Here is a 25900-nt window from a genome sequence, read left to right as displayed (position 1 = left end):
ATTCCAGAAGATACTGGGATAGAAACACTACTACTAGTCTTAGTCCTCCATTTAGCACTCTGGCAAGTGAAAATTTATTTTCTTTTCTTGGTGGCTATAAATCTCTCCTGTTTCAATGAAAGCCTATTTTTGTCATTGTTTGGACATCAGTGTACAAATAATTCAAACCTAAGCAGTGGCCCCCATAATGACCCCTTGATGTTGGTAATTACTCCTTCTTTTAGACTCCTCTGTAAGCTTTAAATGTGTGATTGCTGCATGAGTTTCTTGGCACAGGGCTAGAGGGAGGGGTTAAGACCAAGCCAGAGACGGTTTGCTTCCATTGACTGCCGGCCCTGAGCAAAATTGATAGAAAGAAGTTTGGCTTTGATTTTGGTCTTTGATTTTCTTTATCAGGAGTGCGGGGGTCAGAGGGGAGTTGTAGTTATTACTTTCAAGCAAAGAAGGGGGTTTATTAATACACACATATGGAAAGATGAGTGTGAATTCAGGGACATTCAGACAGTCAGGATGGCCCAAAACTCATTCTGACATCTGTGTTGGCCTCACATCCTTTTGTGGTTCGGTTGTTGGCTCACCTCTTCCTTGGTGCCCCTGCTGCTGCCATGGAGGTCCTGATGCAGCCAAAAGTAACCAAGTGGAGGAGGCAGGAGAAGTTCCTCAAAAGAGTGGGGCTGGTATTACCAGAGGAAGAGGAGGAGAGAGGAGGGGCCAACAGAACCACAAAGGTCTACTGTCTCCTCAGTTTCCAGTTAGGAAAGTGAGGCTCAGCGAGTGCCTTACCATATGAGCCATGATCCTACTGTATGGTGTTGCCAGCAGGCATCACATTCTTAGGGAAGGGAAAATTTAGACCAAAAGGAAGAAGGCAAATTTGCCTAGGATCATAAGTTAATGAGTGGCTGAGCCAGAGCCTGGATCTAGAAGTCAGGACTCAAGGTTTTAAAATATATATGGCAGCAACCTGTTGTTTAGCTTGGGAGACTTGAAATAGCTAGGAAATAGATCTCTCCTGTTTCTAAGGGGTGGCAAATATGAAAATGGTGTTTCCACTCAGAGTCCTTGCAGCCATTTTTGTTTGTTTGTTTGTTTTGTTTTGTTTTGAGATGGAGTCTCTCTCTGTTGCCCAGGCTAGAGCACAGTGGCACAGTGGCACGTTCTCAGCTCACTGCAACCTCCACCTCCTGGGTTCAAGCAATTCTCCTGCCTCAGCTTCCTGAGTAGCTGGGATTACAGGCGCACACCACCATGCCTGGTTAATTTTTGTATTTTTAGTAGAGACGAGGTTTCACTATGTTGGCCAGGCTGGTCACAAAGTCCTGACCTCAAGTGATCTGCCCGCCTTGGCCTCCCAAAGTGCTGGGGTTACAGGGGTGAGCCACTGCACCTGGCTATTGCAGCCATTTTAATGCTATGATTTATTGTATATCTATTTTTCCCCTAAGCCCATTTCCTGTAATCCCAGCACTTTGGGAGGCTTGCTTGAGCTCAGGAGTCTGAGACCAGCCTGGGCAACCTGGTGAAACCCCATCTCTACCAAAAAATACAAAAATTAACCAGGCATGGTGACACATGCCTGTAATCCCAGCTACTTGGGAGGCTAAGGTGGGGAGATTGCTTGAGCCTGGGGCATGGTGTGATTGCGCTACTGCTCTCCAGCCTGGACAACAGAGCAAGACCCTGTCTCAAAACAAAACAAAACAAAACAAAAAACCTTACAAGGAATAGAATTTTTTTTCTTTCAAATTATAACACCTTTGGAACTTATGCATTTTTTTGACAAATTTTTCGTCAAAGTAAAATAAACATACAGTAAAGGGGACACATCTTAAGTTTATAGCTCAATGTTGTTTTTGTTTTTACAAATGTCTTCTTTCTTTCTTTCTTTCTTTTTTTTTTTTTTTTCAGGATCTTGCTCTGTTGCCCAGGCTGGAGTGCAATGTCTCGATTGTGGCTCACTGCAACCTTAACTTTCCCAGCTCATGTGCTCCTCCCATCTCAACCTCCGAAGTAGCTGGGACCACAAGCATGCGCCACCATGCCTGGCTAATTTTCTTTTTTATTTGTAGAGAGAGGGCCTCCCTAGGTTGCCCAGGCTGGTCTCAACTTCCTAGGCTCAAGGGATCCTTCCACCTCAGCCTCCCAAAGTGCTAGGACTACAGGCATGAGCCACCACACCCGACCACATGTCTATTTTTTAAACAGCATTTTTGAGGTACAATTTATTTATTTATTATAGTGTTTCATGATTTTTAGTAAATGTATATATTTGTGCAACCATCTCTTCACTCCAGTTTTGGAACAGTCTCCTCACCCCAACCAAAGTGTCCTTGTTCTTGCCAAATGCTGCTCCCACCCCTGGCCCCAGGCAGTCACTGATCTTCTGGTCCTGGTCTATTTTACTTCTGCACAGTAGCACTGGCTTGAGCCCACAATGCCAAGACAGTGCTCCTGGGCCTTCTTCTTGTGGCTCTTTCTTCCTGAATCAGGAAGGTCCAGCAGAATTTCCCTCCTAACCCTGTAGCTCCATCTCTCACCAGCAAATGAAACAAGGCATCACAGACATCACCAGCCAAACAGAGTTCACCAAGTGTATTAGTCTGTTCTCACATTGCTATAAAGAAATACCTGATACTGGGTAATCTATAAAGAAAAAATGGTTTAATTGGCTCACATTCCTACCTGCAGGCTGTATGGGAAGCATGATGGCATCTGCTTGGTTTCTGGGGAGGCCTTAGGAAACTTACGATCATGGTAGAAGACGAAGGGGGTCCACCTCATATGGCCAAAGCAGGACCAAGAAAGGGAGCGGGGAGGTGCCACACACCGTTAAATGACCAGATCTCTTGAGAACTCCCTCACCATGGTAAGGACAGAACCAAGGGAATGGTGCTAAACCATTCATGAGAAATCCACCCCCATGATCCATTCACCTCCCACCAGACCCCACCTCCAACAATGGAGGTTATGATTCAACATGAGATTTGGTGGGGACACAGCTCTAAACCATATCACCAAGGTGCTGTGGAAAAGATTTCAGAGACTCCTAGATCAGTTAAGTACTCTGAGGTATGATCTCAAGAAAACAGGATTTAATGCAAAAGTAAGCTATACTTCAATTAACAGTTTTGTACAGCAGTGTGCCACGAAAAGGGGCTAAAGGGCAGGAATTTGCAGACTGTTCTAGCACTTGCACATAATGAATATTCTGGGCTCCTACCACAGAACTCGTGTGCCCTGGAAGGGTTGCAGAGGGCCAAGGTATCAATCATCTCAGCCCTTGGGGAAGCTGGAGCAGCCTCCGGGTTTACACCCAGGACTTACACATATTACCATTTCTTGTCTCTGCCAATTTGTGAAAGGTTGGGAATTTGCTCTTGCAGGGCTGATGGTGGGCCCCGAGTTTATCATTTCATGAGTCAAGCCAGCTCTCAACATCCTGCCACTTTCCTAGTTTGGATTCTGTACTTATCACAGCCTCACTTGTAGAGTTTTCTCCAGGGTTGAGAGTGTGTTAGCTGGTCCTCAGGTGCGCTCTTATTTTCTGGGCAATTATGCTCTTCTTGTTAAACAACTGATATTGCTATTTGTATATACCTAGTGTGTATGTATGTATGTGATTGTGATAAAATACACATAACATAAAATTTACCATTTTAACCATTTTCAAGTGTACAGTAAGTGGTATTAAGTACATTGACATTATTGTGCAATTATCACCACCATTCCCATCCATCTCCAGAACTATTTCATCACATCAGATTAAAACTCTCTACCCATTAAACAATGGCTCCCCATTTTCTCCTCCCCACAGCCCCTGGTGGGGACCAGGGACTAGTTGTGATCTCTGTGAATTTGCCTATTGTAGGTAGCTCGTGTAAGTGGAATCATACAATATTTGTCCTTTTGTCTCTGGCTTATTTCACTCGGCATGTTTTCAAGGTTCATCCATGTTGTGGCATGTAATAGAATTGTATTCCTCTTTAAGGCTGTTTTGGGTGTTTTTAATGGAAGTAAGTTTCCTCCTGTTGTGTTACCCCCAGAAGCACTTTGTCCCATTGTGTTTCAGGACCTGCAGAGCTGACACACAGTCCCTGAACTTGACGGCCCAACAGGATGTGGCCGTCTTTGCCTGAGATGCTATTTGGGAGTCTGTTCTTTCTGGCTTCTTTAACTGCAATGCTCTTCCCCTTCATGATTAGTTCTCAGATTTATGGAACCTCTCTGAACAATTTGTTCTTTGTACTTCATATTTACTTGTAAAAAAAAAACAAAAAAACAAAAAACAACTTTGTCTTTTCTAAAAGGAATTTCAGGTACCAGGAAATAGGTATGGTTGTATCAGGAATAAAGGGTCCTTCATGCTTTAATTACACCACATAGAGATTGCTTTAGACAAATATCATGGAGAAAAGTAATATTTATTGGGCACTTTCTATAGTCCAGGCTCTCTTCTAGGTACTCTATATCCATTATATAATTTAATCCTTTCAATAACCCTCCAAGAGACATGTGATCATTATAGTTTGTACAGGTGAGGAAATTGAGGCCCTGAGAAGCTGGGGACCTAGGTTCCCAGAGACGTGACCATGACTAGGGTGAGAAGCCAGGCCTACTCATGCCAGGCCCCAGGCAGCTTTCTCTTCAAGGGGTAAGAGCAAATCTTTGTAAAGCACAAGGCTTTGTCTACAGCCATACCACCCTGAACATGCCCGATCTCATCTGTAAAGCACAAGACTTTAGAAAGATCCAGATGCCAGCTGAGGAGAGAGAGTATTTCACCTTGTTTCCCAGCATGGCCTCCAATAACATTCAAGAATCCAGTCCTGCAAGGACCTCCCTGCTTGGCTCAGCCCAGGTGAGAGCATTCTAACCAGCCAGGGCCACCAGGCCAGCAGCCCAGAAAGGGGCCAGAGGAGCAGTTTGCTTTCCAGGTAGTGGTGGTGGATAACTTCAAGAGTCCTCAGGTGGTAGATCTGCTTGTGTGGCCCCATTCTCCCTCACAGCATCCCCAGGATCTGCCAGGTGCATTTAGGCTGGCTTCCTGGCCAGACTTCTAAACTTCTGAGACAGTAGCTATCCACGGTCTGTGGAGGCAACCCACGCACCTCTCTCATCCATACTTTCTATTTTCTTTTTTTTAAGTATAAAAATCTTTATTATATTTCATTTTTTAAACTTAGATTACCTTGTTTTTTAATTTATTTTAACAATATTTATTAACCAAATTAACACATTAGTTGTCTCTTTCTTTTTTTCATTCCACAAAATTTATTCTAACTTCAGCAAAAATAATTAATTACCTTATTTTCAAATAATTTGGGTCCTGTTTATAGTGATCATCTAAAGCATTAAAAATCTAATTGAGGCCGGCCGTGGTGGCTCAAGCCTATAATGCCAGCACTTTGGGAGGCCGAGGTGGGTGGATCACCTGAGGTCAGGAGTTCGAGACCAGCATGGCAAACATGGTGAAATCCCATCTTTACTAAAAATACAAAAATTAGCTGGGTGTGGTGGTGGGTGCCTGTAATCCCAGCTACTTGGGAGGCTGAGGCAGGAGAATCACTTGAACCCAGGAGGCAGAGGTTGTAGTGAGCCGAGATCGTGCCTTTGCACTCCAGCCTGGGTGACAAGAGCGAAACTCTGTCTCATTAAAAAAAAAAAAATTAATTGTATTCCAAACACACAAAAGCTGAATGTATTTTCATGCAAAGAATTTAAATAAATAAATAGAAATTTAAAAATATAGTAAGGTTTAGTTAACTTTTCAAAAATTAAAATTTGAGATGTTAGCTATATTTAAGTGATCTCATTTAAATTTTTTGAAAATACATATAAAAAGAATTCTAATTTAAAATTTTGACTTTCATGTTTATCTTTTTCACACTTTCCATTTCCACTCTTCAGTGTGTACTCTTAAATTCTCTTTCCACAGCCTCTTCCATTGTTAATGAAACAATAAGCCTCATGGCCACGGTTTTTGAGGGCCTGATCTGTGCCTAGGTTTGCACTAAGCAGATTTTACCTCTTACTTAATCTTCACAAGTACCTTATAAGTAGGTCCCAAAGATGTTAAGTAACTTTCCACAATCATAGATCCAGTATGTGCTTGAAAGACAGTTTGAGCACAGGCCGTCCTGACTCCAGGTGCCTCTTGTCAATTACTCTAGCAGAGGAAGGTCAGGGAAGGATCTGCATTGTTACTAGACTGTGCATAACAAAGATGCCAGTACAAATGGGAGGGGGGATGTGGAGAATTCTCAAGTGTTACTTAAGCCATGTTACCTGTTCATAGAGCTGTAATGTACACTTAAAAGTAGTTGCTATTTCCCAGAATTCTAAATGCCCCCATTTCCCTTTACAATTGCAAAAGAATCCAATAATCTAGTTAATTACATTTTCTTTTCAGGTCTTTGTGGATGAATTTAAAACTATAATTTAGTTACATTTCTTCTTCTCAGAAGGCATCATAGAGAGTACCTCTGTGTAGTGATAAAGTGCCCTGTGAAGTGTAAAACATACAGACAGGGGAGCCCCAGGACTGGAAGGGAAGCCAGAGCTCATCAAATCAGGTGATACCCTGGAGACACAGTGGAGATACCTCTGGTGAAGGGGGGTGCAACCCTCAGCCTCTTCTGGGAATGAAATTGCAAAGCCTCTTCAAGTAAATTTTCATGAGCTATTTCCAAAATCATCTCCAGTTTAATCAGGGCATCCACATCAAAAAAGACAAAAAGATGTCCTTGAAGGGTCTGGTTTATCTGTAGACTCTAAGGACAGACATTGATGCCCACAAATGAAATGAGTTCAACCAAAATGAAAAACCAGAGGCTGCTTTCTGACTCTTTCTTCGACATGTACTTGTGTGCGTGTGTGTGTGTGTGTCTGTTAATCAAGTGATGGATTAGACACAATGCCTGGCACACAGCAGACCTTCAATAAATTGCAGTTCTTCCCCTTTCTTTCCAAACCTAGAAAGGAGGAGCAGAGACTTTTACTGGCAGGCCGGAAGACTGTATCTGCCTCTGAGCCATCAAATAGGACGTCGAAGTCCTTCAAATCAGGAACAGAGGTACATTCAATAGAAGCCTCATTGCTGGTCCTGGGCAGGAAAGCCTCCCTCCTCCTGAATATGTGCTCAGGCCTGGTCCAGTTGGGATTTGCTTCTTACCAGCCCCTCCATGTCTGGTCCCACAGTTCAGTCCTGCTGCTTGTACTTCACCAAGAATTAAGCTTTGAAAAGTGGAATTGTGGGGAAAGAGTTCCTTTACTCTGGAGAAGGAGAGGCAGAGTGAGAGCCTCTCCATCCTTTAACACAAATGCCTACAAGTAAATAAACACTCTGAAGCCTCATGGGTAGTTTAACCACGATTGGAAATTTTAAAACATTTCAGCCAATAGAAAAGAGATAACACTCCCAGGTCAACAATTCTGGTCAAAGGTACCATTGTATGCCTTTTGCGAAGTAAAACAGTACGAACCACAGTTGAACTATATCAGCAACAAAAAATCACAGGCATTCTGCAGGCCTTTGTGTCTGAAGCACTGATGGCTGTGATTTCTCAGCTGCTGTCCATAAGCGCCTTCTGTCCCCCACCTGGTGTGGAGGGCTTCACCTGCAGAGAGCGCTTGTGTCTGAACCGCCCATTTGGCTTACATTGTTTACACTCATTACTCACAGTGTGGCCCTGGACCAGCAGCATGGGCAGCACCTGGGAACTTGTTAGAAATGCAGTTTCAGGTCCCACCCCAGCCTTACTGAATCAGCATCTGCATTTTGGCAAGATCCCCAGGTGACTTGTGTACCCATTAAAGTTTGCAACACTGCCTTGTGTTATCATTCATCTTTCCAAACACAGTCTCGGGTTCTCTCCAGATGTGAGAATGTTCTATGATCTTGCATCCCCTGTTTGCTCTCTGTACGTAAGGATCCTTACCCCCCATCTCTGTCTGCTTCAGATTTGAGACCCTCACTCACTTCCGGGAATGGTGTCTTTTGTTCATGTTCTCTTCAAGCCCAAGATCACAATTTGCTTCTTCCCTTTTACTCTGGGGGAGAGGCATATGATATAACAAAAAAAGCATGGACTTTGACACTGGAAAGATGTGGGATCTGGCTCTTTCACTTACCAGATGGATGACTAAGCAAGTTTTTATCTGTGTGACCCTCATTTCTAAAATGAAGACATTAGTACTCTCCACATTGTATAGATATTGCCTGGCACATGACTCATCTGCTTGCTCAGCCTTCCTGGCTACATGGCTGGCCCTTGGCCATCTCTTGATAATCAGATCTTGAGCAGCCCTGGCAGGGATGGCCTTGTTATCCTTGGGCCCATACCCCTCTCCATTAGTGGCTCCAGAGAACTGGATGTGAACAGCACTTCTTCCTGGTCTGCCATGAATTCAGCTCTGATTTGGGCAGTTCCCAGTTTGCAAATTTAGGATGAGATCTTTTACTCAAATTGTTTCCAAACAAAATATGGTTATTATTTTTGCAATTATAGCAACCTTTTGTTTGAGAGGATACGGTACATTTTTATCACCATTCAAAAAGTTACAGTTTTGGTGGTATAAAAATTCATTTTTAATTAAAACATGTTTGGGGTACTATGAATTATATTCATTCTACAAAGAGCGGGTACTTTTGTTTTTTCCTTCTTGCATTTTACTTGTTTTCTTTGCTTCTTTTAAAGACACTGTTCCTGGCTAGGCACGATGGCTCACACCTGTAATCCCAGAATTTTGAGAGGCCAAGGTTGGAGGATCAATCAAGATCAGGAATTCAAGACCAGCCTGGCCAACATAGTGAAACCTCGTCTCTACTAAAAATACAAAAATTAGCCAAGAGTGATGGTGGGCACCCATAATCCCAGCAACTTGGGAGGCTGAGGCAGGAGAATCGCTTGAACTCGGGAGGTAGAGGTTGCAGTGAGCCGAGATCACACCAACCTTGGTGACAGAGTGAGACTCTATCTCAAAATAAATAAATTTTAAAAAATAATAAAAAAACAAAAACACTGTTTCTGATGCCATTAGAGGTCAGCAGAAGCAAAGAAGACACATTCTAATCAATTTTTCCCCCCTTTGGTAACTCAGTGGGAGGGAAAGTTGAATTTTTCTGGAGTATCTTATTTTTTCCAAATGGTGAAAAAAAAAAGCTGAAACTGATTTATACATCAAATCTTCGTTCTAACTAGGTATATTATACAAGCTACATATTTGATAATAGTTGAATAGTAAAAACGTTAAAGAAGTGAAGTGTCCATTTTGAAGTATGGTTTTTTAAAGGTTTCATTTGATTTTTTTTTTTTCGAGAAGTTTTTGCTCTTGTTGCCCAGGCTGGAGTGCAGTGATGCGATCTCGGCTCACTGCAACCTCTGCTTCCTGGGTTCAAGTGATTCTCCTGCCTCAGCCTCCCAAGTAGCTGGGACTACATGTGCCTGCCACCATGCCCAGATAATTTTTGTATTTTTAGTAGAGACAGGGGTTTCACCATGTTGGGTAGGATGGTCTTGATCTCCCGACCTCATGATCCACACACCTTGGCCTCCCAAAGTGCTGGGATTACAGGCATGAGCCACTGCACCTGGCCTTCATTTGATTTTAAAATTGAATTATCAGCAAGTCCCAGTACCAACCGCTAATGCTGCACATACAGTTTAGAGGTCAAGGTTCCAGTTAAAGAAACAATATTTTAAAATAATAAGAATGAACAGCTTGGATTAAAAATTACATCTGCTTGCATTTTCTCAGCCAAGATGTTTTGCTTTTTAGCTTGCTTTTTTTGATTATCAACATAGATATTTTTTATCCAGGGGTGTGTATTCCTAATCTTCACTAATTCATTCCTTTAGGGTTGATAGGTCTATTTCACCCTGTGTAATTCTAAACATTTTGCTCTAAGGAGAGAGAGTTTCTCTCTGATGTTTCAGATCTGGTGTGGGAGAGCTCAGACAGTTAGTCTCAACATAAAGCCGTCTGGGAGCTGGCCTTAATAGAGATACTAACTTAATCATTAAAGAGTTTAATATGGTGCATTTTCAAAGTAGAACTATAGCAGGACGAGCTGCAGACAAAACTCCTCAGACGCTGGATTAAAGAAGGAAGAGATTTATTCAGCCGGGAGCATCAGCAGACTTGTGTCTTAAGAGCCGAGCTCTCTGAAAAAGAAATTCTTGGCCTTTTTAAAGGCTTACAACTCTAAGGGGTCCATGTGAAAAGGTCGTGATAAATCGAGCAAGCGTGGGGAATGTGACTGGGGGCTACATGTATCAGCTAACAGAACAGAAAGTTTGCAATGCTTTTTCATACAATGTCTGGAATTTACAGACAACACAAGTAGTTTAGGTCAGCGGTTGATGTTATTATTATTATTATTAGTTTTTTAACTCCTAGGGCCAGGTGGTGGTGCCAAGATTGTCTGGCTATTTATCTTACTTTTGTTTTTTTCCAACTTTTTCTTTCTCTCTTTCCTCCTGTCTTGTGAACTAGGCAAGGTTGGGGGAGGAGGGCAGCAGGAGTAGTAGCGGTCTCCTTCCTTATCCCCGCCTTTGAGAATTTCACTAATTAGTGGGAGTTCTCACTTTTATTTTTACTTTCTGAGTCTCTTTCTGAGACAGAGTGATAGTGTTTTATGTAATACACTTATGCTGAAGTTTTCTGACAAACAATGGTAGCTACAAAACCTTTTATCATTTGAAGGAGCAAGTGTAATACACAGGGGAGCAGCAAGCGTCTATTACTAGTAATATACTTACAATGAGGGTTTTAAATTATCTTATAGCTGGAAACTATTTTCTAAATAAAGACCTAGGATTAAACCTGCACTAAACCTGTACAGGCACATGTGCCAACTTTGTCATGTCCTAAGCAGGTTAGTTCTTTTACTGGGTCTTAAAAGCTTTTTTCCTAGTGAGCAACACAGTATTTTTTAATAATAGAAGTTTTTAAGAGCCAGATGCTTGAACTTGTGGGTGTCTGTTTAGGGAAAGAGTCTGTTAAAGCAAAGTTATCTTGAGGCATTAACTCTTTTGCTTCTCAAGACCATTGGTTTCTCATGTTAGCCTTTTAATAAACATAACATGAGGAAATGACTAGGCTGCCAGCAATGTTTTCAGCCAGCTGAGCAAATAGGTTTTATTGTTTGTTTGTTTGTTTGTTTGTTTGTTTGTTTTTTGCTAAAGGAGGAGGCTCTGGTAACTTCTGGTTTATATGTTTAAAGAATGACTTAAAGACTCGAAATTGTTACTGGGCCAGACGGGTCTGGGTTTCCTGACTAAGTAGTATGTGTACGGTGGGGAAACCTTATATAGGTCTTTCTTCTAGCACGGTTATGGGGGGTAACAACAACAAAACAATATACAGTATATTCATATCCAGCAAGGAAAAAAGAGGTCCTTGCCCGGGAAAAAGGTTGAATACAGCAACAGAACAATAGGAAAGCAGTCAGTATTACAGGAAAACTATTAATCTTAAGATTTTAAACTACATTTACTTGCTTGATGAGTCTTCAAACTTTGGCTGTGCATAGACTAGTCAGCTGCCGGTGTGTGACTAGAGCAGGGCTTGTTGTTTCTTCAAGCTTCAGCCGTGAATAGACTGGTCAGCCTCCAGAGTGACCAGAGCAGGGCTGTCGTCCTCAGCAGCAGCTTGGTCTCGTCTCAGGATCAGCTGGGTTGGATGATCTGTGTCCTGCTGGCTGGTCTACTTGTCCTGAGCTGCCAGTGTTAGCTGACTGTGATGGATCTAAGACACAACACCTGCAACTTTAACAGCAGTGGGAGTGGACAAGATTACAGTAAAGGGCCCATCCTATATGGGTCCTAGAAAAATTAGATTTTACTTTTTAACTTAAAACAGAGTTACTAGATTTAAAGGGGTGTCAGGCTTATAGGCATTTTTATTTATTTAATTATGAACACTTTGTATGGCTATTTCTAAAGCCTGCATTTGCTTTCTTAAAGTTAATTCCTTTAGTTCCTGGAGGTCATCTTTAATTTGACCTATGATTTGGGGGTGGCCGACTGAACAAAATCGTATAGGGCAAATACCTAATTTGTTTGGTGGAGGTGCACCTGACTCGGAGGAGGACCATAGGCAAAAACCTGATTTTATCTTAAATGAATTTCCTGGCAATATTTCTTCAGTAGCTGCTTGAGTGTCTGGTTCATGCTTTCCAGCTTTTCTTGAACTTTGTGGCCGATAGGCTGTGTGTAACTTCTATTTTATTTTTAACAGTCTTGTTAAATCTTGCACTGTTTTAGCTACAAATGCTGGCCTATTGTCTGACTTTAAAGTTAGAGGCAGTCTAAACCTGGGGATAATGTCTTTTGAAAGTACTTTAATTACTTCTTGTACTTTTTCTGTCCTGGTGGGGAAAGCTTTAACTGACCCTGAAAAGGTGCAAACAAGCACTAGCATGTACCAATAGCCTCCGGCATGGGGCAGTTCTGTAATATCTATAAGCAAGTTTTCACAAGGTATGACTCTTCCTCCTGTTTAAGTTTCTTACAGGAGGGGTTCTTTTTCTTCCCCCGCTTTGTAACTCTATCTAGTGGCTTAGCCATCATTGAGAAATTGGAATCTAGATATGGTAGAATCTTGCTGCTTTTAACTTTTAACATGACCATGGACTCCTGGGAGCCTAATGAGAATGTGTCTGGTCCGTCTGGTCTGATCTAGTCTTTTTTTTTTTTTTTTTTTTTTTTTTTGATACAGAGTCTCGCTCTGTCGCCCAGGCTGGAGTGCAGTGGCATGATCTTGGCTCGCTTCAAGCTCCGCTTCCCAGGTCCACGCCATTCTCCTGCCTCAGCCTCCCAAGTAGCTGGGACTACAGGCGCCCGCCACCACGCCCAGCTAATTTTTTGTGTTTTTGTAGAGATGGGGTTTCACCGTGTTAGCCAGGATGGTCTCGATCTCCTGACCTCGTGATCCGCCCACCTCGGCCTCCCAAAGTGCTGGGATTACAGGCGTGAGCCACCATGCCTGGCCTGATCTAGTCTTTACATTCTTCAGCTCCTGCCAGCCTGATCAGATCAGTATTTGGTTCCTCCAATGTGCGGCAGTCCTTGGCCGATGGCCTCTTTGTCTTGCGGCCTTGGCCACTTTCCTCATTGTCTTCTGAACATTTATCTTTCTAGTGTCCTTTCTTTTTGCATCTCACACATTAATCTCTCTCTAGCCTTGTCTGGCTCTTGAATCCTTGCCTAACTTGACTTCTTCCACATCTACATCCACATCCACATCCCTCACATTGCTAATCTCTCTTTTTGTAAGAGCTGTTGCCAACAGATTGCCTTTTTTTTTTTTTCCTTAAACTTTAATTAATTTTTTTTCCTCCCTGATCCTACAGCCAGCTGGCAGGGCCGGGCAATGGCACGGGCCCTGCCCCCGCGTACTGCTGTCTGTCTCTCCTGTTTTCTGCTGATTCTCTTTTTCACACTTACTCTTAGTCTTTCTTTTTCTTTTGCTCTTTTCCCAGCTCCAGTCCCTGGCTCCTTTTTTAGAGCCAGGCTGGGGAGAGGGACTTAATCCTTGGCGTGCCTAGCTTCCATGCTTGTTGCTTTTGCTCTTTCCAGTTTTGTTCCTTGGTCACAGTTAACATACACCTTTTAAAGACTAGGTGGTATTCATGCCTGCAGCTTCTGCTTGATGTTACCCTGGGCTTGCTTTACAAATGAAGTATTCACTGTATACTGATTTTCAGCAGCCTCAGGGTTAAATGGGGTGTAAAGTCAGAATGCTTTATAGAGTCTCTTATAAAACTGACTTAGGCTCTTGTCAGCTCCTTGAAGCACTTCTGAAATCTTTTTTATATTAATTGCTTTTTTTCTACTAACTCTTAGCCTCTGCAGAAGTGCCTCTTGGTACCTCTGAAAACGCTGAAGCTGAGTTGCATTCTCTGGGTCTTTTTCCTCTTTTTCCTAAAGTTTAACAGGCCCTTTTCTTTATATAATTCTCCATGCACTTGGAGGGTTAAACAGGCCTACCGAGAGTCAGTGTAAATGTTTACAGTCTTACCTTCACTGAGTTCTAAGGCCTAAATTAAAGCAATGATGTAGGGGTGGGTTGCCCCTCCACACCTGTGGGTGTTTCTCGTAAGGTGGGACGAGAGATTTGGAAAAGAAAAAGACACAGAGACAAAGTATAGAGAAAGAAATAAGGGGACCTGGGGAACCAGCGTTCAGCATATGGAGGATCCCGCCAGCCTCTGAGTTCCCTTAGTATTTATTGATCATTTGTGGGTGTTTCTCGAAGAGGGGGATGTGTCAGGGTCACAAGACAATTGCGGGGAGAGGGTCAGCAGACAAACACGTGAACAAAGGTCTTTGCATCATAGACAATGTAAAGGATTAAGTGCTGTGCTTTTAGATATGCATACACATAAACATCTCAATGCTTTACAAAGCAGTATTGCTGCCCGCAGGTCCCACCTCCAGCCCTAAGGCGGTTTTTCCCTATCTCAGTAGATGGAGCATACAATCGGGTTTTATACCGAGACATTCCATTGCCCAGGGACAGGCAGGAGACAGATGCCTTCCTCTTGTCTCAACTGCCAAGAGGCATTCCTTCCTCTTTTACTAATCCTCCTCAGCACAGACCCTTTACGGGTGTCGGGCTGGGGGACGGTCAGGTCTTTCCCTTCCCACGAGGCCATATTTCAGACTATCACATGGGGAGAAACCTTGGACAATACCTGGCTTTCCTAGGCAGAGGTCCCTGCGGCCTTCCGCAGTTTTTGTGTCCCTGGGTACTTGAGATTAGGGAGTGGTGATGACTCTTAAGGAGCATGCTGCCTTCAAGCATCTGTTTAACAAAGCACATCTTGCACCGCCCTTAATCCATTCAACTCTGAGTTGACACAGCACATGTTTCAGAGAGCACGGGGTTGGGGGTAAGGTCACAGAATCTCAAGGCAGAAGAATTTTTCTTAGTACATAAGAAAATGGAGTCTCCTATGTCTACTTCTTTCTACACAGACACAGTAACAATCTGATCTCTCTTGCTTTTCCCCACACAATGAGCTCAGCTTAACGACAGAGTCCAGGGTTATCACCGCATATCCTGCACATGTCTCTCCTTGTGGGTTGATGAAGCTGCTTCCGTTCAAGTATAGCTCCCAGTCTAGTGATGCTCAAGGCTGGTCCCGGAGGTCAGGTCTGCTAGAGTAAACTGAGTCCAACACCTCTACACAGTTATGCTCAACAGGGCTCTAGCTGCCGGGAGCAAGGTGGCGGGTTCAGGGTGTTTCCAGTTTAGTAGATCGATGGTTGAAAAGGGCTGATAGATGATAGTCTGTTGCCCCCGCCCCGGATGTGGGCCTGGTCATTATAATAGACAGGTCCTCACATCTCCCTGAGGCATTTGCATAGCTCCAGCAAGACCAGACCTGAGAGGGCCCACTTGACTATCTTGACTTCCTTCCTTGGCCTATTGAGGCTCCAATCCTCCCCTTCGAGGTGAGACCTGGGGCGTATTAGCTCCTGAATCTGGTTTCTGAGGGGGCTGTTGGCCTCGGTAAAGTGGCGTAGGCTGGGACATAAAAGAATTTCTATTATCTCTGTTGGCTCCTGCAAAACTGGCTTCTCTTGCTGTTTCTTGGACTCCCTTTTTAACTCTATGTCTGCTGGCGAAGCTGCTCGTACTTTTACTTCAGGCTTTTTTGCAATAAGCTGTTAAACAGGACTAAATTTATGCTGGCTTTGTCTATATTATATTTAACCATGAGTCAATATAAAAGAATTTGATCCAGGTACACTGGCTGTCCTCCGACCCCTGTCACTGAGAGACAGGACTAGCTGGATTTCCTAGGCCGACTAAGAATCCCTAAGCCTAGCTGGAAAGGTGACTGCATCCACCTTTAAACATGGGGCTTGCAAATTAGCTCACGCTCTACCAATCAGGTAGTAAAGAGAGCTCACTAAGATGCTAATTAGGCAAAAACGGGAGGTAAAGAAATAGCCAATCATCTATTGCCTGAGAGCACAGCAGGAGGGACAATGATCGGCATATAAACCCAGGCATTCGAGCCCCCACCGGTAACCCCCTTTAGGTTCCCTCCCATTTTATGGGAGCTCTGTCTTCACTCTATTAAATCTTGCACCTGCACACTCTTCCATTCCGTGTTTGTTACGGCTCGAACTGAGCTTTCGCTCGCCATCCACCACTGCTGTTTGCCGCTGTCACAGACCCGCCACTGACTTCCATACCTCTGGATCCAGCAGGGTGTCCGCTGTGCTCCTGATCCAGTGAGGGGCCCATTGCCCCTCCCAATTTGGCTAAAGTCTTGCCATTGTTCCTGCACGGCCAAGTGCCCGGCTTCATCCTAATCAAGCTGAACACTAGTCACTGGGTTCCACAGTTCTCTTCCATGACCCACCGCTTCTAATAGAGCTATAACACTCACCGCATGGCCCAAGATTCCATTCCTTGGATTCCGTGAGGCCAAGAACCCCAGGTCAGAGAACACAAGGCTTGCCACCATCTTGGAAGCAGCTTGCCACCATCTTGGGAGCTCTGGGAGCAAGGACCCCCCGGTAACATTTGGCGACCCAGATGGGACCTCCAAAGTGGCAATATTGGAACACTTTCCCTTGCTATTCTGTCCTATCCTTCCTTAGAATTGGAGGAAAATACCAGGTACCTGTCGGCCAGTTAAAAATGATTAACATGGCCACCAGATTTAAGACTCAGGTGTGAGGCCGTCTCAGGAAGGAAGATCTTTCTAACAACATCCAACCCTTCTGGGTTGGGAACATTCGCTTGCCTAGAACCAGTTTCCGCTTTCCATTTTCTTGGGGAAGCCAAGGGCTGACTAGAGGCAGAAAGCTGACGTCCTGAACTCCCGGCTTTAGCTGGTTGAGATCATGGTGCAGCCAGAAGTCTCTATTCAACAGTCGCCCATGTGTGCACCCCTACCTTTCCTTCTGACCCACACTTTCTGGGTCCTGACCAAGACTTTCTTGAAAGAGTAGCCCCAAAATTCTCCTTACCTCTGAATCTACTTCCTCTGATCCCTGCCTCCTAGGTACAAAGGTTCAGACTTTCATTTCCTCTAGCAAGTTGTATCTCCAAAGGGGTCTAAGGAAGCTCTATGCTGCATCCTTAGGCATCTAGGCTATAAACCCAGGGAGTCTTATCCCTGGTGTCCCTCCCGATTTAGGTATACAGCTTTCAACATGGGCAGTTATGAGGGACCTGTTCCCCCCACTCTTGCCAGGGCCCCAAGTTTGTAATGGCTAAGAGAAGGAGAGAGAGAGGATGGAGGAGATAGAGACGGAGGGGAGAGACAGAGAGATGGAGGAGAGAGAGACACTGAGGAGAGAGAGAGAGACAGAGGGAGTCAAAAAGAAAGAAATAGTAAAAAAAAAAAAAAGTACGCTGTACTCCTTTAAAAGCCAGCGTAAATTTAAAACCTATAATTGATAATTGAAGGTCCTCTCCGTGACCCTATAACACTCCAATACTACCTTGTTGTCAGTGTAAACAAGGGCGTAGCCTGAAAACACTGAGACCACAGAAAACCAGTAGCTTTCCTATCAAAAATCCTTAACCCAGTAACCCATGGATGCATTCAATCTGTAGCGGCAACTGCTTTGCTAACAGAAGAAAGTAGAAAAGTAACCTTTAGAGGAAACCTCATTGTGAGCACACCTCACCAGTTCAGAGTTATTCTAAGTCAAAAAAGCAAAAAGGTTACTAACTCAAAAATCTTAAAGTATGGGGGCTATTCTGTTAGAAAAAGGTAATGTAACTCCAACCACTGATAATTCCCTTAACCCAGCAGATTTCCTAACAGGGGATTTAAATCTTAATTACCATACAAAGGTCCAACCAGACCTAGGAGGAACTCCCTTCAGGACAGGAAGATAGATGGTTCCTCTCAGGTGATTGAGGATACAATGGGTATTCAGTAACTGACAGGGAGATTCTTGTGGAAGCAGAGTTAGAAAAATTGCCTAATAATTGCTCTGCTCAAACATGCAAGCTGTTTGCACTCAGCCAAGCCTTAAAGTACTTACAGAATCAAGTACTTACTCAATCCTGACTCAAAAAGTTACCTACACGTTCTCTGAAATGAATTTGCATAAGAACTGTTGTTTATGGGAATGCATCTTGATGGGGCAGCTGGGTTGTTATGAAATATTCAGGAACCCAGCCCAGCTCTAGGACTCACCCCTGAGCACAAAGGCAATGTTGGACACACTGGTAAAGGACCACTAGAATCCAGCAGCCCAGACCCATTTCTTTGTGGTCAAGAAAGGTGGGAAAACAGGGGCAGGACTGCCACATCAGTGAGCTTAACTAATCCAATAAGCAGAGGTCCATGGGTGGTTACGCACCCTGGAAAGTAATAAGCATTAGGACCATAGAGGATGCTCTATGACTAATGCTCATTGGAAAATTACTGGGGTGCTGGCATCCTTATGTTCTTTTTTCAGATGGGAAACGTTTCCCCCAAGGCAAAAACACCCCTAAGATGTATTGTGGAGAATTCAGCCCAGTCAGAGTGTATGCACCTTTTTCCCTCTCACAGTTGAAGCAAATTAAAATAGACCTAGGTAAATTCTCAGATAACCCTGATGGCTATATTAATGTTTTACAAGGGTTAGGACAATCTTTTGATCTGACATGGAGACATATAATGTTACTGCTAGATCAAACACTAACCCCAAATGAGAGAAGTGCCACCAAAACTGCAGCCCAAGAGTGTGGCAATCTCTGGTATCTCCGTCAGGTCAATGACAGGATGACAACAGAGGAAAGAGAACAATTCCCCACAGGCCAGCAGGCAGTTTCCAGTGTAGACCCACACTGGGACACAGATTCAGAACATGGAGATTGGTGCCACAGACATTTGCTACCTTGCATGCTAGAAGGACTAAGGAAAACTAGGAAGAAGCCTATGAATTATTCAATGATGTCCACTATAACACAGGGAAAGGAAGAAAATCCTACGGCCTTTCTGGAGAGACTAAGGGAGACATTGAGGAAGCATACCTCTCTGTCACCTGACTCTCTTGAAGGCCAACTAATCTTAAAGGATAAGTTTATCCTTTAAGTCAGCTGCACACATTAGAAAAAAAACTTCAAAAGTCCGCCTTAGGCCTGGAGCAAAATTTAGAAACACTATTGAACTTGGCAACCTCAGTTGTTTATAATAGAGATCAGGAGGAGCAGGCGGATTGGACAAACGGGATAAACAAAAGGCCACTTCTTTAGTCATAGCCCTCAGGCAAGCGGACTTTGGAGGCTCTGGAAAGGGCAAATCAAATGCCTAATAGGGCTTGCTTCCAGTGTGATCTACAAGGGCACTTTAAAGAAGATTGTCCAAGTAGAAATAAGCTACCCCCTTGTCCATGCCCCTTATGTCAAGGGAATCACTGGAAGGCCTACTGCCCCAGGGGATGAAGGTCCTCTGAGTCAGAAGCCACTAACCAGAAGATCCAGCAGCAAGACTGAGGGTGCCTGGGGCAAGTGCCAGCCCATGCCATCACCCTCACAGAGCCCCGGGTATGTGTGACCATTGAGGGCCAGGAGGTTAACTGTCTCCTGGACACTGGCGCGGCCTTCTCAGTCTTACTCTCCTGTTCCGGACAACTGTCCTCCAGATCTGTCACTATCCGAGGGGTCCTAGGACAGGCAGTCACTAGATACTTCTCCCAGCAACTAAGTTGTGACTGGGGAACTTCACTCTTTTCACATGCTTTTCTAATTATGCCTGAAAGCCCCACTCCCTTGTTAGGGAGAGACATTCTAGCAAAAGCAGGGGCCATTATACACCTGAACATAGGAGAAGGAACACCTGTTTGTTGTTCCCTGCTTGAGGAAGGAATTAATCCTGAAGTCTGGGCAACAGAAGGACACTATGGATGAGCAAAGAATGCCCATCCTGTTCAAGTTAAACTGAAGGATTCCACCTCCTTTCCCTACCAAAGGCAGTACCCCCTTAGACTCAAGGCCCAACAAGGACTCCAAAGGATTGTTAAGGACGTAAAAGCCCAAGGCCTAGTAAAACCATGCAATAGCCCCTGCAGTACATCAATTTTAGGAGTACCGAAACCCAACGGACGGTGAAGGTTAGTGCAAGATCTCAGGATTATCAATGAGTCTGTTGTCCCTCTGTAACCAGCTGTACCTAACCCTTATACTCTCTGCTTTCCCAAATACCAGAGGAAGCAGAGTGGTTTACAGTCCTGGACCTTAAGGATGACTTTTTCTGCATCCCTGTACATCCTGACTCTCAATTCTTGTTTGCCTTTGAAGATCTTTTGAACCCAACATCTCAACTCACCTGTACTGTTTTACCCCAAGGGTTCAGGGGTATCCCCCATCTATTTGGCCAGGCATTAGCCCAAGACTTGAGCCAGTTCTCATACCTGGACACTCTTGCCCTTCAGTACATGAATGATTTACTTTTAGCTGCCCATTCAGAAACCTTGTGCCATCAGGCCACCCAAGCGCTCTTTTTTTTTTTTTTTTTTTGAGACAGAGTCTCGCTCTGTCACCCAGGCTGGAGTGCAGTGGTGCGATCTCGTCTCACTGCCACCTCCACCTCCTGGATTCATGCCATTGTCCTGCCTCAGCCTCCCAATTAGCTGGGACTGCAGGCATCCACCACCACATCTGGCTAATTTTTTGTATTTTTAGTAGACACGGGTTTTCACCATGTTAGCCAGGATGGTCTTGATCTCCTGACCTTGTGATCTGCCTGCCTTGGCGTCCCAAAGTGCTGGGATTACAGGCATGAGCCACCGTGCCCAGTGCCACCCAAGTGCTCTTAAATTTCCTCGCCACCTGTGGCTACAAGGTTTCCAAACCAAAGGCTCAGCTCTGCTCACAGCAGGTTAAATACTTAGGGCTAAAATTGTCCAAAGGCACCAGGGCCCTCAGTGAGAAATGTATCCAGCCTATACTGGCTTATCCTTATCCCAAAACACTAAAGCAACTAAGAGCGTTCCTTGGCATAACAGGCTTCTGCCGAATATGGATTCCCAGGTACAGTGAAATAGCCAGGTCATTATATACACTAATTAGGAAAACTCAGAAAGCCAATGCCCATTTAGTAAGATGGACACCTGAAGCAGAAGTGGCTTTCCAGGCCCTAAAGAAGGCCCTAAACCAAGCCCCAGTTAAGTTTGCCAATGGGGCAAGACTTTTCTTTATATGTCACAGAAAAAACAGGAATAGCTCTAGGAGGCCTTACACCGGTCTGAAGGATGAGCTTGCAACCTGTGGCATACCTGAGTAAGGAAATTGATGTAGTGGCCAAGGGTTGGCCTCATTGTTTATGGGTAGTGGCAGCAGTAGCAGTCTTAGTACCTGAAGAAGTTAAAATAATACAGGGAAGAGATCTTACTGTGTGGACATCTCATGATGTGAATGGCATACTCACTGCTAAAGGAGACTTGTGGCTGTCAGACAACCATTTACTTAAATATCAGGCTCTATTACTTGTAGGGCCAGTGCTGTGACTGTGCACTTGTGCAACTCTTAACCCAGCCACATTTCTCCCAGACAATGAAGAAAAGATAGAACATAACTGTCAACAAGTAATTGCTCAAATATACGCCACTTGAGGGGACCTTTTAGAGGTTCCCTTGACTGATCCTGACCTCAACTTGTATACTGATGGAAGTTCCTTTGTAGAAAAAAGGACTTCAAAAAGCGGGGTATGCAGTGGTCAGTGATAATGGAATACTTCAAAGTAATCCCCTCACTCCAGGAACTAGTGCTCAGCTGGCAGAACTAATAGCCCTCACTTGGGCACTAGCATTAGAAGAAGGAGAAAGGGTAAACATATATACAGGATCTAAGTATGCTTACCTAGTCCTCCATGCCCACACAGCAATATGGAGAGAAAGGGAATTCCTAACTTCCGAGGGAACACCTATCAAACATCAGGAAGCCATTAGGAGATTATTATTGGCTGTACAGAAACCTAAACAGGTGGCAGTCTTACACTGCCAGGGTCATTGGAAAGGAAAGAGAAATAGAAGGGAACCGCCAAGCAGATATTGAAGCCAAAAGAGCTGCAAGGCAGGACTCTCCATTAGAAATGCTTATAGAAAGACTTCTAGTATGGGGTAATCCCTTCTGGGAAATGAAGCCCCAGTACTCAGAAGAAGAAATAGAATGGGGAACCTCACAAGGACATAGTTTCCTCCCCTCAGGATGGCTAGCCACTGAAGAAGGAAAAATACTTTTGCCTGCAGCTAACCAACAGAAATTACTTAAAACCCTTCACCAAACCTTTCACTTAGGCATTGATAGCACCCATCAGATGGCCAAATTATTATTTACTGGACCAGGCCTTTTCAAAACTATCAAGCAGATAGTCAGGGCCTGTGAAGTGTGCCAAAGAAATAATCCCCTGCACTGCAGGCCATACATTTCAATCCCTATATCTTTAACCGCCTTGTTAAGTTTGTCTCTTCCAGAATCGAAGCTGTAAACCTAAAAATTGTTCTTCAAATGGAGCCCCAGATGCAATCCATGGCTAAGATCTACCGCAGACCTCTGGACTGGCCTGCTAGCCCATGCTTCGATGTTAATGACATTGAAGGCACCCCTCTTGAAGAAATCTCAACTGCACAACCCCTAGTATGCCCCAATTCAGCAGGAAGCAGTTAGAGCAGTCATCAGCCAACCTCCCCAACAGCACTTGGGTTTTCCTGTTGAGAAGGGGTACTGAGAGACAGGACTGGCTGGATTTCCTAGGCCGACTAAGAATCCCTAAGCCTAGCTGGGAAGTTGAGTGTATGCACCTTTAAACACGGGGCTTGCAACTTAGCTCACACCCAACCAATCAGGTAGTAAAGTAAAGGCAGTGAGGGCAAGAGGGCTAGAAAGTCTGAAAGTGAGCATGGCTAGGTGAGGGAGGAAGAGTGGCCAACATGAGGCTGGACAAATAAAGAAGGTGGGTTATGCAGGGCTTTGTAAACTCTGTTGAGTTTGGATTTCACCCTGAGGGCATTAATGGCTCACTGAAGGTTTTGAGCCAGAAAATCATGCAGAAGGCCCAAGAACACCAAGTCCAGTGTGCAGAACACTGCAGCACTGGGGCCAGAAGAGAGGGCAACCTGCTGACTGGACAGAGATTGAGAAGGAAATGGTAGGACACACAGGGAGATGGGGGAGTAAGGGTTGATGGCAGATTTCCAGCCTGGGCAACTGGGTGGACCAACAGTGTGGAGCTTTAATCTCTGAGATTTGAAACCTGATTTCAGTTTGGGACAGGGTCAGTTGGAGTTGCCTGAGGGGTGGGTAGGTGAACATGCCAGAAGGCAGATGTACAGGATCGGGGGTCTGATGCCCAGGAAAAAGGTCTGTGCAGAGTATCTTCCCAGAAACCTGCCCTGCAGTTCAGTTGCTGATTTCACTAAACTCTTCTGGCCACACCTAACGGAGTTAATGTGCCCAACTAGAGTTGCCCAGACCTTTCTCTATCTCAGAGAGACGTGGGAGGGATTGCTGTCCCAGGGGAAAACGGATCAGAGTGGCTCTTCCCAGGGCTGGCTCCAGGTATGGAAGTTGACACCATCCTGTCTCACTCCATGAATGGGATGTGCCTGTGTTATAGGAGTCCTAACCAGTGACCGGGACACACTCTCCACTCTCTCTCCTCACACCCCCCACAGAATGGGACACAAGCCGTGTCAACTCTACCTCCTAACTACCTCACATATCTCTTTCCTTGTCCCATCTCCTTCCACTGTGTGGGTCAGAGCCTCATGGTTTCTCATCTCCACCACCCCAGGGTCCTCCCAGTGGGTCTCCTTGCTGGCAGCTTCACTTCGCTCTAGTCTCTTCTTCACTTACAACCAGAGTAGGTTTGCTCAAACACAAATCTGAATATCACTGTCTTTCTTTAAATTCTTCAGTGAGTCTCCATGTCATGCAGGATGCATCCTCACCACAGTCCTCACTCTGTCATCTCCAGCTCAATAAGCCCCTTGGGAACAGCAAGGCCTCCTTTCTCCCTGCCTGGGTGCATTTGCTAGCCCTACCTGGCAAGCTCCTTCCCACTGGCCACATCTAACTCCTATCTCATTGCTTTCTGGGAGCTTTGGCCTCTCCTCTGTGCCCTCCCAGAGTCCTGGTGAGCCTCTAATAACACCTGAGGGACACTGTGTCTGCACAATAGTCCTGTGACCTCCTGGTGTGGGGCATGGCCTGCTGGATCCCCATTCCTGCACCACCAATGAACAATAACACCTGCACAGCTCCACGCATATTTTGAGGAACTGAGGATATGAGGCTGGGCTTTGAGATCTCACAAATCCCCACACCCTCTGCCCTACTCTGTATCTCATCCATTTCTGCAAAACATACTGACAAATGTCCCTCAAATTCTATGTATGGACTTCGTGGGTCCTGACAAAAATAAACCAATGGCAAAGAAATTTTTATGAGACAATTGAGGAAGTGTGCATGCAGTTATTTGACAAAATTAAGAAACATAAATTTTTAGTGTTAGAATAGAATGGTGATGTCCAGAAAAAAAGCACTTACATTTTAAAGAAACATACTAAAGTATACCTCCAGCAATACTAAAATGCATATGCAGTGTTATTCATTGCAGCATTGTTTGTAATTCCAAAACATTAGAAACAACCTAAATGTCCACACATACAAGAGTGCTTGCAGGCCAGGCATGGTGGCTCACATCTGTAATCCCAGCACTTTGGGGGGCCGAGGTGGGCCGATCATGCGGTCAGGTGTTCAAGACCAGCCTGGCCAAATATGGTGAAACTCTGTCTCTAATAAAAATACAAAAATTAGCCAGACGTGGTGGTGCGCACCTGTAGTCCATAGTCCCAGCTACTTGGGAGGCTGAGGCAGAAGAATCACTTGAATCTGGGAGGCAGAGGTTGCCGACAGCCGAGGTCATGCCACTGGACTCCAGCCTGGGTGACAGAGTGAGACTTTGTCTCAAAAAAATGAATAAATAAATAAAGAGTGCTTGCATAAACTATGATGCATTCATACGATGGAGTATTTTGCAGCTGTAGCAAATAAAGGAAGACATCTATGAACTTAGATGGTGGTGATTTCTAGGACCTATCATTAAGTGAAGGGTGGGGGAACCAACAACCACACAAAACAAAGAGCAAAAAAGTATTATGGTATGCTGCCCTTTATGTAAGAAAGAAGGGGTTGTAAGGAAATATGTACTTGAGCAAAAGAAAAACAAAAGGGGAAAGTTAGAAATTAGTGAGATTTGTTGTCTACAGGGGGATGAGTGAGAAATGGGTGGGAAAAAGAGGGACTAGGAATGGGAATTAGGGACAGAGAGAGACAGTGTCTCCAAAGACACTTTTTCATATAACTCTGGCTCTTAGAATCATGGTAAAGTTTTGCATACCAGAAAACTAAGTAATTAATTAAAACCAACCAGGATGTAAGGAAACCGCAAAGTGGAATATACAAACACTAACAACCTAACAGCATTTCAAATGAATAGATTACCAAACTGAAGGAGGTGGGGGGGAAAAGAACTGACCTAAATAACCACAGAAAACCACAATTTTGACTGGATATTGTAAGGCTTAAGACCAAAAAAAAAAAAAAAAAAAAAAGAAGGAAAGAAAAATACTGTACTCTTGTTAGTAGATTTGTTTTTCACAGAGGTATGCATTGGCAATTCTGCAACTATTTTACTTGTACTAGGATTAAACAAATATGCAAATATTGTATATTTTAGATAATCATAGCCAGGTTTCTCACTTGTCAGAGAGGTTAGAAATGAAAGGACACGGCTAAATGAATCTATTGAATTGAAATAGTAGGTATCTGTATGAACTCATGGTTTTTTATCATATTTATACAGATAGCTATATAAATACATACAGAAGTGTATGTATGTGTGGGTTAATATACATACATATATTTCCCA

The 25900-nt window shown here is 44.1% G+C and overlaps 2 annotated features.

Annotated features, from left to right (window-relative positions):
- Nucleotides 6034-6328: a silencer, noted in NCBI's record as "tiled region #1037; HepG2 Repressive non-DNase unmatched - State 22:ReprW, and K562 Repressive non-DNase unmatched - State 22:ReprW". NCBI's record gives its function as "represses a minimal TATA promoter and a strong SV40 promoter by Sharpr-MPRA in HepG2 and K562 cells {active_cell/tissue: HepG2 | K562}" and the evidence as "EXISTENCE:reporter gene assay evidence [ECO:0000049][PMID:27701403]".
- Nucleotides 14303-14962: an enhancer, noted in NCBI's record as "OCT4-NANOG-H3K27ac hESC enhancer chr6:52787535-52788194 (GRCh37/hg19 assembly coordinates)". NCBI's record gives its function as "activates a minimal SCP1, AML or CMV promoter by ChIP-STARR-seq in naive H9 embryonic stem cells {active_cell/tissue: H9 hESC(naive)}" and the evidence as "EXISTENCE:reporter gene assay evidence [ECO:0000049][PMID:30033119]".

Source organism: Homo sapiens, chromosome 6 (genome assembly GCF_000001405.40).
Source record: "Homo sapiens chromosome 6, GRCh38.p14 Primary Assembly".
NCBI lineage: Eukaryota > Metazoa > Chordata > Mammalia > Primates > Hominidae > Homo > Homo sapiens.
Note: the sequence above shows the minus strand (reverse complement) of the source record. Positions and strands in the feature narration are given on the sequence as shown.